Here is a 13,772-nt window from a genome sequence, read left to right on the forward strand (position 1 = left end):
CCCCCCACCAACCTCTCAGGATAGTGTGAGCTCCTTGGCAAAATTTATAAGGCGGTGCAAGCAGCCTCTAACTACTCTCTAGTATGTACTCTAGCCACGCTCAACTATTTTGTTTAACTTCTCTAAATTCCTTATGAGAATGAAAACAGAGTAAGGGCAAGAACTGAGTCTGTCTTGTTTACTGCTGAATCTCTAGCACTTAGCAAAGTGACTGGAACATAATGTGTATTACAAAATTCTGCAGAATGAGTATATGCATTTCTATTAGCCTCTCAATCAGAAAGGGAAAAAAACCCATTTCTGACCCATGAACAACAGCAACAAAAAGAGAAACGGCTAAACAAAAGCCCCTCACATTTTACCTCAATTGATAGCTACCTGTATGTCTGTCTTCACTCTACTAAATAATAAACTCTTCACATCAGGAACGATGGCACCACTGCTTTGCATAAATGAATGGGATAAAAGATAACTTTTTCCTACATGCTTAGCAATTCTGGAGTTTAACACTACAGAAACCACTTTAAAGTATCTCTTATCACCCTTTTAAAATTAAATGAATACTGCAGCCTGGCCAACATGGTGAAACCCCCATCTCTATTAAAAATACAAAAATTAGCTGGGTATAGTGGCACACACCTGTAATCCCAGCTACTTGGGTGGCTGAGACACGAGAATCGCTTGAACCCGGGAGGCAGAGGTTGCAGTAAGCTGAGATCACGCCACTGCACTCCAGCCTGGGCAACAGAGTGAGACTCTGTCTCTAAATAAATAAATAAATAAAATGAAATGAATCCTAAAATTAAATAGAACTTACCTTAAAGCCCACATGTTGCACAAATCCACTTTCAGCTTGCATTTGCTGAAGTTTCTGCTTCTTTAACTTTTTAAACTGTAATAGTTCTTTATATTCAGGTAAATTCCTATACATGATAGGAATACTTTCGTCATCCTATCAAAAAAAAAAAAAAAAAAAAATGTTGGTTTGGTAATTAAAATGAATTAAGTGTAAGTAATACTGATACAGAATATTTTTCTACTGATATTTTTCATTTTTAAAATATCTCTTAGTACTCATAGAAAATTAGTGCTGTTATTAGCAGTATTTTCCACTAATGCTTTTGGACTTTTTTTTTTTTTTTTTTTTAACACAACAGTAATTCTGAATTGTAGCAGACTACTTCAATGCAGGTAAAAGGGAAGCACGGCCATGATTACCACCTCTGTCACACACTATTGCAAACCCAATCCCATCTTTATATTTTCACGGTTACTTGAGTGACTTGTAATCTACTTCTCCCTCATTTAAGGAAGTTCCTCTTCTCCAATCTAACAGATTTTTACATTTGCTCCTGTAAACATGACACTTTCTTAATAACAAGCAAACCAACCTCTGCTCTTGTTTTTTGCTCTGTACTCCCAATGATCAAAGTAGAACATTTCTCTCCTACTCAACAAGATGAACTGAGTTACAAAGACGACTATTTAGAATGGACTGTAAGAGACATAAACAGTAAAAACTATATAAATGTATTAAGTAGGCTAGGTGCAGTGGCTTATACCTGTAATCCCAGCACTTTGGGAGGCCGAGGTGGACGGATCACTTTAGGTCAGGAGTTCAAGACCAGCCTAGCCAACATGGCAAAAGCCTGTCTCTACTAAAAATACAAAAATTAGTTGGGCATGGTGGCACGCACCTGTAATACCAGCTACTCGGGAAGCTGAGGCAGGAGAATTGCTTGCACCTGGGAGGCGGAGGTTGCAGTGAGCCAAGACTGTGCCACTGCACTCCAGCCTGGGAGACAGAGTGAGACTCCGTCTCAAAATTAAAAAATAAAATAAATGTATTAAGTTGAAGTATCCCTTAATAAACTGGCCTTCAAGGTATAAAGTCTATTTATGATTCCGAACTTTTAGATACATATGTTCGGGACCATCCCCCACCTCCCAAATTGACAAGTAGCTTTCTACTCAAAGTATTAACATGCAAAATTTGTCTATTTAAAATTGCTGACAACACTGTGGTTCATCATCCTAGACAACTTCAAGATTATCACAGATGCCCAACTCGCTATTTCTGGCCTCTAATCTTACACTGATTCTACTGAAATAATCTTCATCTTCATTCCTTCTCAGAGTCTCCCACTCCAACAGCCATACCTTGGACCTTGCCTTCAACTATAAGTGTTTTACATCCCAAATATTAAGCTTAGATTTCCTACCTCCACTGTTATTCCTACTTCTCTCATATTCTCACCCCAAATAATCAGCTTATTTTTTTAACCTCATTGAAATTTCTAATCACTATTCTGCTTCCTATTCTCCCAATTCATTTGTGCTCTGCCACCCAGGTTCCATTTCTTTTCTTTGCTACCTTATGACTGATCCCGTGCTCACTTATTTCCTAAAAGCATCCCCAATTCTCTGATCCATGCTCTGTAAATTCCCAATCCCGGACCAGACAAGCCCTACCCCACCCATTCCTCCTGCTACATTAGGTATTAAGTGCTATGTTTATTTTATATCAAGTAAACAAAAGCTTACACAAAGCAGCCCAAGTCAGAAATCTAAGTGTTATCCTCAGTTTTTCTTTTTTTTCTTTTTTTGAGACAGAGTTTCACTCTGTCACCCAGGCTGGAGCGCAGTGGCGCGATCTTGGCTCACTGCAAACTCTGCCTTCTGGGTTCACACCATTCTCCTGCCCCAGCCTCCCAAGTAGCTGGGACTACAGGTGCCCGTCACCACACCCAGCTAATTTTTTTGTATTTTTAGTACAGACGGGGTTTCACCGTGTTAGCCGGGATGGTCTCGATCTCCTGACCTCGTGATCTGCCTGCCTCAGCCTCCCAAAGTGCTGGGATTACAGGCATACCACACCTGGCCTATCCTCAGTTATTCACTCTGTCTTATATCGAATGTAACAAATCCTGTCATTTCTTAATACTTTCTACAATCGCTTTCAAATCGGTCCTCTAGTATCCACCCCCTCCTTTGCCCCTTACCATTACTTAAAATTTCCCAATGGTTTCCTGACTATCTACAGCATCAAGTCCAAAGTCTTTGGCTGAATAAAAGATTCTTCACAATTTCACACTTCATCTATCTTATCTCCCACTTTTTCCTGTTATTTTATTTTTATTTTTATTATTTTATTATTATTATTATTTTTTTGAGAGAGGGTTTCACTCTGTCACCCAGGCTGGAGTGCAATGGTGGGGCTCTCTGCAGACTTGACCTCCCAAGCTCAAGTGATTCTCCCACCTCAGCCTCCTCAGTAGCTGAGATGACAGGCGCACACCACCAAGCCTGGCTAATTTTTTTTTTTTTTTTTTTTTTGTAGAGACGGGGTTTCGTCATGTTGCTCAGGCTGGTCTCGAACTTCTGGGCTCCAGTGATTTGCTCATCTAGGCCTCACTTATTGCTGGGATTACAGCATGAGCCACTGCGCCTGGCCCCACTATCCATTTCAAATTCTTGTCAACTAAAGATGTTTGATGATTGTTATTACCATACTATGTCACCACTGAGAAAGACAACATTAAGTAATGCTATACACTAATAAATAAGTGACCCGAATAATTAGATAATATAGTAAGACACGTCTTAATGAAATTTACTTAATTCAGATATTTTGCAAATGCAAAGAGTGTAAACACTTTTAAATTTTTAGATTTGCATTTAAATGCTAAGGATATTATTAAATGTGATCAGCAAGGCTAAGATTAAGAAAAGTTAAATCACCTCACACCCAGTAGGTGGCTACTACTGAAAAAATAAATAAATAAATAACCAGTGTTGGTAAGGATGTAAATAAATTGGAATCCTTATGCACTGTTGGTGAGAATGTAAATGGTACAGCTCCTATGGAAAACAGTATGGTGGTTCCTCAAAAAATTTAGCATAAAATTACCATACAATCTAGCAATTCTACTTCCCAAAAGAACTGAAAGCAGGATATTTGTATACCTATGTTCACAGTAGCATTATTCACAATAGCCAAAAGGTGGAAGCAACCCAAGTATCCATCAACAAATGAATGGATAAACAAAATGTGGCATACAATATTGGGAATATAATGCAGCCTTAAAAAGGAAAGAAATTGTGATACATGCTACAAAATGGATGAACCTTGAAGACCATACGCTGGGTGAAACGAGCCAGTCACAAAAGGACAAATACTGTATGCTTCCACTTATTTGAGGTATGTAGAGTAGTCAAATTTATAGATATGGAAAGCAGAATAATGACTGCCAGAGGCTAGAAAAAGGGGTGCTGGGGAGATGTTTAATACATACAGAGTTTCAGTCATGTAAGCTGAGAGCTCTGGAAACCGGTTGCACAATAATGTGACTGTACATAGCATTGCTGAACTGTATACTATAAAAATGGTGAGGATGGTAAATTTCATGTTATGTGTATTTCACCAAAATTAAAAGAAAAATTTTTTAAAGCCTCATAGATTTCCTAATCATAATCACTTTAAACTTACTTAAAGGGGACTAATATCAAATGGAGCTAAAACTGTATACAGATTTCGAAGCCACGGGTAAATAACATGTAAGTAAGTGTTCTATCTATTGCTTTTTGAAAAGAGAAACTAAAATCTATAAACTTTTCCACCAGATGCTTCATAAATATACATCTTGAGTAGCTATTTTAAAGTGATCAGAATAATTTGAACTGGCACTCATTTTTAAATAAATAAACTCAACAACAACAAAAATTACATCAAATCTAATCCACTCTATTATATTTTGCCAATTTGTCAAACTGTACCTTTGGGTTTTGTTTTTTGTGGGTTTTTCTGAGGGTTTTGGGTTTTTTTGTTTTGTTTTGTTTTTTGAGACGGAGTCTCACTCTGTCTTCCAGGCTGGAGTGCAGTGGCACGATCTCGGCTCACTGCAAACCTCTGCCTCCTAGGTTCAAGTGATCCTCCTGCCTCAGCCTCCCGAGTAGCTGGGACTACAAGCATGCACCACCATACCTGGCTAATTTTTGTATTTTTAGTAGAGACGGGGTTTCACCATATTGGCCAGGCTGGTCTCCAACACCTGACCTCATGATTCATCTGCCTCGGCCTCCCAAAATGCTGGGATTACAGGTGTGAGACACTGCGCCCGGCCTTTTTGTTTGTTTTTTTAAGACAGAGTCTCCCTCTGTCGCCCAGGCTGGAATGCAGTGGCGTCATCCAGGTTCACTGCAGGCCCAATTTCCCAGGCTCAAGTGATCCTCCCATCTCAGCCTCTTGAGTAGATGGGACTTCAGGAATGCACCACCATGCCAGGCTGATAATTTTTTCTTTTTTCTTTTTTGTAGAGATGGGGTCTCACTATGTTGCCCAGGCTGGTCTTGAACTCCCAGGCTCAAGCGATCCTCCTGCCTCAGCTTCCAACAGTACTAGGATTACAGCTGTGAGCCACCACACCTAGCCAAATTGTACTTTTTTTAAGTACTCCACCACCACTCTTCATCTGGCCAATTTTTATCCATACTTCAAGTACCATCTTCACTGTCACCCTCTCAGGTCTTCCACTGAAACTCTCAATCTAAATTAAGTACCTCTTAAATAATTATGTTAGCATCTCTTTTTCCTTTGAAGCATTTTTTAATTTATTTTTTTGGAGCTGGAGTTTTTGCCCTTGTTGCCCAGGCTGGAGTGCAGTGGTGCAATCCCAGCTCCTGGCAACCTCTGCCTCCCGGGTTCAGGCAATTATCCTGCCTCAGCCTCCTGAGTAGCTGAGATTACAGGCATGCACCACCATGCCCAGCTAATTTTTTTTTTTTTTAAGTAGAGATGAGGTTTTACCATGTTGGCCAGGCTGGTCTTGAACTCCTGACCTCAGGTGATCTGCCCACCTCAGCCTCCCAAAGTGCTGGGATTACAGGCGTGAGCCACAGTGCCCGGTCTGAAGTACTTTTTTAAATGTGTGATTTACTGATGTGATTACACATTTATCTCCTCCCATAGACGAAAATTTATGAGCACAAAGATCAGACATATTTTGTTCATAACTACGTATCTAATCCCTAGCAAAGCCTGATAAATAGTAAGTTTAAATAAATATTTCTCAGATGTACAATTCTAATAATCACAAAGTATGAAATTATACACAAATGCTGTTTAAAACACAGCAATGATAGTAGTCATTTTTCAAAAGACAAGTTTAAAAGGAAATTTTAAAATTTTTATGAATACAGTTATTAAGGTAGTTTGATGCCAAAGTATACAATCAGTATTCGATTAATCTAGCTATAGAACAAAGGAGCTTACTTTTATTTGATAACTTTTCATTAAAATATCCTTTTCCAATTCTATATAATCAGAGTATTAAGGAAGATATAGGGTGATCTTTATGTCCTTTTAAGCAAGGAATCAGAATCAGGTTAAGTATTGAGAAAATAATTTCAGGAATAGTAAATAATAAAAAATATTAACAGCAACAAAAAGAAATCCCTATATATGTAAAGTAAAATAAAGTGAATTAACCTAAATTAATATCCAACCATGGCAACAGTGAGAGGGATTATTTATTCCAAGATAATTTAAAAACCAATTTGACTTTACTTCTGTAGTGGGATATATATATATCTATAGATATAGATATATATATAGATAGATTTACATATAGATATATATAGATTTATATATAGATATATATAGATTTATATAGATATATCTATATATATGGCAAAATAAAGAACTGAAAAACAAACTGTTTTCAGGAACCATATTAATAGTAGTGTTGGTTATTAATATATTCTGAGATTGTTCTGGGCAGTGTGAGACAAAGGAAGTAAGTATTACATTGATGTCATTGAGAACTATGATTTTTAACCCGCAGAAAGGAGATACATATTTAAGATCGATTAGGGTAGATAAAAGTCCTAGAGTTCTTAAGTTGAATTTGCAATTAAAATATGAACTTAATGATGTCTTTCATCCTTAAATAAAATAAAAATGTATCATATTTCCCAGCTCTGTCCATTAACAGGCCTACAAACAATGATGAACCCAGCAGCAAGTAACATTCCTACAGTCAGGATATAGTCTCTAAATACCATTTCCCAGTAAAAAGAAGGACTGACTCTGGGTCTGAGGCAGGAAATATACAAGATGAGCCTGGATTTTCCTTGTTAAAAATGGGTATTAAGCTATTAAACACTATTAGAGTCTTATCAAAAGAACTTATAAGCCAACTTAAATAGGCTACAACAAACCAAAGATGGGCCACTTTGAACACTAACAAAGGCAGTAACATCAATGAATTGAAATACATTAAATACATTTAGGGCCAATAGTTCATAAGAATACAAAAAATTTTTAAACCTCATTGGTCATCTTTGAAGGATATGAGAAAATGAACTCATTATTTTAAAAACCAGAAAACAGGCCAGGCATGGTGGCTCACGCCTATAATCTCAGCACTTTGGGAGGCCGAGGCAGGCAGATCACGAGGTCAGGACATCGAGAATATCCTGGCCAACATAGTGAACCCCCGCCTCTACTGAAAATACAAAAACTAGCCGGGCATGGTGGCACATGCCTGTAGTCTCAGCTACTCAGGTGCCTGAGGCAGGAGAATCACTTGAACCTGGGAGGCAGAGGCTGCAGTGAGCCGAGATTGCACCACTGCACTCCTGCCTGGGCGACAGAGCGAGACTCTGCCTAAAAAAGAAAGAAAAAGAAAAAAAAGGGAGAATTGAGCAATTATCCCACCTTTTCTATATGTACCTCAGAGTAACCAAATAGTTGACTAGGGGGCAGGGGGATTACTTTTAGAATAGTCCAGCAAGTAAATGAAGAAATGATAGCATAATCACTATTCTGTAACATCTAATGAATTAATCAATTTAGTCAATGATCAGTGGCTGTTATGCCAAAAAAAGAGACAACCAGGCTGATGAAAGTAAACGTGAAGTAGTCCTGCCCACCCTAACAAACAAATACATCTGAATCTCATCAATGCTCTTGACCTACTATGAATTTACAGGAAGTTCAGAAAACAGAGGAACAGATTAAATGACAAGAAGATGTAATCAATAAAATCCATACTGCAAAATTCTATAAGACAAATGAACCAGTTCTTCAACAAAAACATTGGGAGAGGGAAAAAAGGAAAGTGAAAGAGGGAGAATGAACCTATTGTGATTTATGGGCTTTATTTGGATCCAAACCCAAATGAAGAAATTAGAAAAAAAATCATGAACAGTGACTATATATTTCACTGTATAACAAATTACCTTTTATAAACATGATAATTATATTGTGTAATATCTGGGACTTGCTCCAAAATAATCCAGAGCAGAGTTGAGGTGGGTAGGGAGTAGAGATTAAAATAAGGTAGCTTCATGTTGATAATTGTTAAGGTTCATTATACTATTCTATTTTTGTATATGTTTGAAATTTTCCTCACAAAAGTACATTACTTAAAAACTATACATTTGACTTGTTCATTAAAAGAAACCAACATTCTCTGAAGAGTGGAAATAATTAGAAAATCCTACTCTCTTCTATACCTTGATGTATATAACAACTTGATGTGTATAACTTACTGATGCATCTTCAACAGCAGTGTTCATGTGGCTATGAAAACAAGATCGGTCATCATCTTCATCCATATACACTGGCGGTTCATGTGAAGTCATGAAAGTGGAAGGCTTAAAGAGATGCTTATTAAGAGGGTGCTGTCGTCTGCTTGTTGAAGACTAAGTAAGAAAACAAATTTTTAATTGGTTCAGTGAAAAATCATTACAAGAATCAAAAATATAAAAATACAAATGTTACTTCCAACAAGTCTATCAGAAGAATTTCACTCTATCCTTTAGCATACTCTTATGTTGTTGCTTTTTCTGTTTTCTGCGTTTTTAAAGCATAACTAGCTTTAAAAAATTTTTTTTAAATGTAGGGGAAATACCCCAACAACGGTAAAATGGACCACATGTTTAATATCTAGCTTATATTTGTATCCCCAGCATTTATCATACTCTTGGCAGTCAAATGCTGGCTGCACTGAATTCTTATGATCATCTTATAGAAGATCAGACAGGATGAAGTGGCCTATGCCAGACATAAAACTATCCAGTAAAAAGTAAAAGGAAAATTTCTATAACATTATGAATATCTGAAAATACTTATCTAACATTGATTGACTGCTTATTCTATGCCAGGGTTGTCCAATCTTTGGCTTCCCCGGGCTACATTGGAAGAATTGTCTTGGGCCACACATAAAATACACTCACACTAAAAAAAAAAACAAAAAAACAACAAAAAAAAAATTTCTTGTAATGTTTTAAGAAAGTTTACCAATTTGTGTTGGGCCACATTCAAAGCTGTCGTGGGCCACATGTGGTACGTGGGTCATGGGTTGGACAAGCTTGCTCTATGCCAATGTCATTTAATCCTTACAACATTCCTATAACGTAGTTATCATCACCTCTAATTTAAAAATGAGAAAACTGAGGACAGGGAGGTTAAGTTTCTTGTTCAGTGTGTTGCAGCTAGATAGTGGTAGAACCAGGATTATAAACTAGGCCTATGTGGTGCCCAAATTCTCACTTTCCACCACTATGCAGCCTGCCTGTCTTGATCAATAGCACAGTCACAAAGAACACCCTCAGCTACATGAAGAACCATCATTTCACCTGTTTCCAAATTTAAACTCTAACAATGGCAAGCAATCATTGTAAATATAGCTGTACTAGATCTTCACAGCCAAAATACAGTACACCTAAGGGAAAAAAACACATGTACGTTCTCCAGTATTCCTTTTGTTATCATTATCCAGTGTTAATGATGAAAACATGGTTACATCTATAAAATTAGCTTAGAAATTAACCATGAAAATAAGAGCTCTTACATTAAACACAGGTTAATGTAAGGTTCCAATATTCCACAGTTATAGGATGAACTCTACAAATCTACACAGGTTGTGCTATATTTGGTGGGAAACCCAAAATATTTAAAACAATTGGCAAATTAAAACAAGCTTCCAAAGCTCGGTTAAAAAAAATTTTTTTTTAATGTGTAAAACATGAAACTGTATAGACAATATTCTTAATGTAAAATTACATGAAATAGCTTCAGTATGGAAGGATAACAGCACTAGATATACTCTTAGCTTCTCTTTATGAGAAAGATGTCAGTGGTGGGGAGGGAAAAGTAACAGGATAACTTATTAAGAAAATTTAAAACAGCCAATTAGGTGTCTTTATTTTTTGCGATTACAAGAACGAACAGCTGGGACTGCAGGTGCGTGCCACCACACCCGGCTAATTTTTGTATTCTTAGTAGAGACGGGGTTTCACCATATTGGCCAGGCTGGTCTTGAACTCCTGACCTCGTGATCCACCCGCCTCGGCCTCCCAAAGTGCTGGGATTACAGGCGTGAGCCACCGTGCCCGGCCGAAACTGGCTACATTTTAATGTAGTGTCCTGTTTGGGAAAGAAACAGTAGCTTCTCCACTGTAGAAAGCAACAGAGAAAAGTGGAAAAAGTGTGGCATCAGAATGGGAGAGAATCAGTGGTTCCCAGACTTAGCAGCTAAGCAACTAGATAATTCACTCAACATACCTGAGGGCCCAGTTTCCTTACCAAATAAAAGGTTATAGAACAGTAGAGTCTGGCTCAGAGCCCTCAATATAACAGCTAGCTATTAATATTATGTCAGTAAAGTGAAGATGATAAGACTACTTATATTTCAAGAATTGTAGAAAGGATTAAATACAATATTTTATTTTTTTAAAGATACGGGACCTCACTATGTTGCCTAAGTTGGACTCAAACTCCTGGCCTCAAGTGTTCCTCGTGCCTCAGCCTCCCAAGTAGCTGGGACAACAGGTGCACACCACTGTGCCTGGCTTTAGAATATCATAATAAACCTTTCTATTCTTGGATTTATGTAGCATTATCTACAAAACAGAAATTGATCTATTAAATTTATTAAATGATTGATTTATTAAATAATCAAATATCCTAAAAACTTTACCCTCACAAAGGCCTTTCTAACATATTTTGAATCTAAAATCTTTCAAGTAGCACTCATTCACATTACTCCAAAGAAAATAATGAAGAATCATGAATTTCACTGAGCAGCAATAATGGAGTCCTTACCCTCCACTTTTGCACAATATAAGGAAATGCTTAGAATGAACAGAAGTTTTAAAATACAACACTATTCTGTCAAATGTGTAGATTTTTACATAGCAATTCTTACTTTAATAAATTTAATCTACAGTTTACTTTCATGTATTTTCTTTTACCTTTTTGGAGTATATATATAAGTTTGGTGTTCTGCCTGGTACTGGAATGCCAGCTTTAGTTAGCTTTATGAAATACTTCTGTACTCGGCTGGCAACCTAAGGAAACATGACAAGTCTCTTAACACAATGAGATGACATACAATACCTGAGTCGTTTTTAAAAATTAAAACGTACATGAGTATCTAATGAATGCTAAGAATTCAATACTCATCATGAATCTAGAATTAACAATAAACTGCCACCAAATACACATATATTTTAAAATCTAGGCCAAACAAAAATTATTCAAGTAAATTTAAATTTGATTCTAAAGCTAAACACATATTTCAACTTGTGAACACTTACATTTGTAGTATAAAAACACATCTATTAATATAGATGGGAATATGAAGGAGTAAACTGCAAGATACATTTTTAGAAAGACAACCAGGAAACACTAAGGCAATGAAACAAATCTGTTTGCTCAGTATAACCAAAAAGTATACAATTAGTATATTTAGTAAGCATTCAAGAGAAATTAAGTCCATTATATGTTCATTTTTTAATATTTCGTAATGATCCAAAGCAGAAGTATCTCAAGTTGTTTCTGAAATCAACGAAAATATATACAATTTTTTTAAAAAAACACCACATACTACAGCACTCTGTAGCTGAAAGTGTTATGGCAGATCGCCCAATGTCAGCTGCATTATTCTCCTTTATTAAAAAACTACCAAAAGCATACCAGCAATCTGCAGTCATCTCCTCAATTACCTGTTTTGCTGTCCTGTTGCCCAATTCATCTGCTATCTTCTGCCAGCGTCGAGATTCTACTTCTTCAGGAGGGTATTTGATGAGTAGCTGTTCCAGCTTTTTCTAAGCCATACCCAAGACCAAATTTAAGAAAATATGTATTTAATTTTAAATATTGGATTTCTAAATAAATACATTCACATTTCATTTCAAAATGTAATACTCTCTCCCACCTTTGGGGGTTACGTAATTAGAAATCCTCATGGTAGGAAAAATTTCTAGTTAGAAACTTAAGACTTCACAGGGAACAATGAAATTAGAGAATAAACTTATGAAAGAGCTTAGAAAAGTTTTCTATTCACATAAGTAAAAATATCTCATAAGAAAACAGAAAATAAGTAAACAAATTGGTAGATTACACATTTTAGTGATTTCCACTGAAATCACTAAATCCACTGAAATCCAAGAAAAGATGGTCAATCTTTTCTTACTTTTCTTTCCCCTACAGTTTTAACAAAAACGTGTAAATTCACTTAAATTTCGACTATTAAAAGAGGCTTTTCCTTCTTTTGTATGGTCCTTTATTCAAATATTTGATTTTAATATTCCTTCTTGTCTCCTGTATCTTCTCATAGTCCTAAAGATGCAGAAAAATCTGGATGCTTGAAATAAATAGATTTCCCAAAGCTTTTTATAAACTGTTAAATGTATAGCTGTGGGGTTAATAGCCATATGAGACAAAGATGTGCCTCAAACTTCACCCACTAACAACCCTAGCCATTAGCCAAAAAACAATTCTAAACTGTATGCCAAAACTGACTTGACTTCCTCACCTCCCTTCGACAACAAAAATAAGAATGCACTTTGAAGCTCAGCTTTACTGGCCTCAGGTTTTTCTCTCTCCCAAAGCTACATTACAAAAACATCTATTTTATTCTATCCACTTCTACTCCCCTCTCAAAACCCAGGTTCCTTCTTTTAAAATTATCCCCAAACAAAAGTTTACACATTCTCAAAATCCAAAATTCTTGACGTATGCAAAAAGGTATACAAAAATAAGCCTAAATATTTAAAACTCATGGCTAACAGGCATCACATACAACAATATACACCTGACTCAAAATACAGGCTCTTTTCTTTTTGAGATGGAGTCTCACTCTGTTGCCCAGCCTGGAGTGCAGTGGCATGATCCTGGCTCAATGCAACCTCTGCCTCCTGGGTTCAAGCAATTCTCCTGCCTCAGCCTCCCGAGTAGCTGGGATTATATATGCACACGCCATCACACCCGGCTAATTTTTGTATTTTTAGTAGGGTTTCACCATGTTGGCCAGGTTGGTCTTGAACTCCTGACTTCAAGTGATCCACCCATATCAGCCTCCCAAAGTGCTGGGATTACAGGCGTGAGCCACTGGACCTGGCCTCATAATACTGACTCTGATGTTAACTGTTTACTTGTTTTTTTAAGCCTACACGATTTTGAAATATTTATTACCTGTTCTTCAACAGTCCACAACTGGTTAAATGTTTCAGGTTTGGTATCATCACACAAGCGTCCTCTTATCATCTGCACATAAGACAAGGCTTTTGTCAGAGAGAAAATAACAACACCTATCCTTTGATATAGCCAAATAACACGCAAATTGTGGAATTTTTAAATTAATTTCAAAATATTTGAGTAAATTTGTTTTTTAATGTATATGCTTTTTTTTTAACTGTTTACAAAATGCCTTCACATTATTTTATTTTGTTTGGTTTTATACTCTCAGCAATCCTGTGAAATA

General features: G+C 36.6%; 1 protein-coding gene across 21 annotated transcripts in view; it reads right to left on the minus strand.

The window, feature by feature from the left end:
• Positions 1-13,772, minus strand: part of ZZZ3 (zinc finger ZZ-type containing 3) — a 120,983-nt gene that overhangs the window by 5,099 nt on the left and 102,112 nt on the right. For all 21 annotated transcript variants that reach the window (NR_164775.1, NR_164777.1, NR_164776.1 and 18 more), the window contains 5 exons: positions 13,484-13,555; positions 12,013-12,114; positions 11,260-11,355; positions 8,554-8,706; positions 818-952 (listed from right to left, as the gene is read on the minus strand). Coding sequence is in view for 18 of the 21 variants with exons in the window: in NM_001376151.1 (NP_001363080.1) it covers positions 818-952; positions 8,554-8,706; positions 11,260-11,355; positions 12,013-12,114; positions 13,484-13,555 (558 nt within the window). In the remaining 3 variants the exon portion in view is untranslated. The remainder of the gene's footprint in view (positions 1-817; positions 953-8,553; positions 8,707-11,259; positions 11,356-12,012; positions 12,115-13,483; positions 13,556-13,772) is intronic.

This window comes from Homo sapiens, chromosome 1, assembly GCF_000001405.40.
Source record: "Homo sapiens chromosome 1, GRCh38.p14 Primary Assembly".
NCBI lineage: Eukaryota > Metazoa > Chordata > Mammalia > Primates > Hominidae > Homo > Homo sapiens.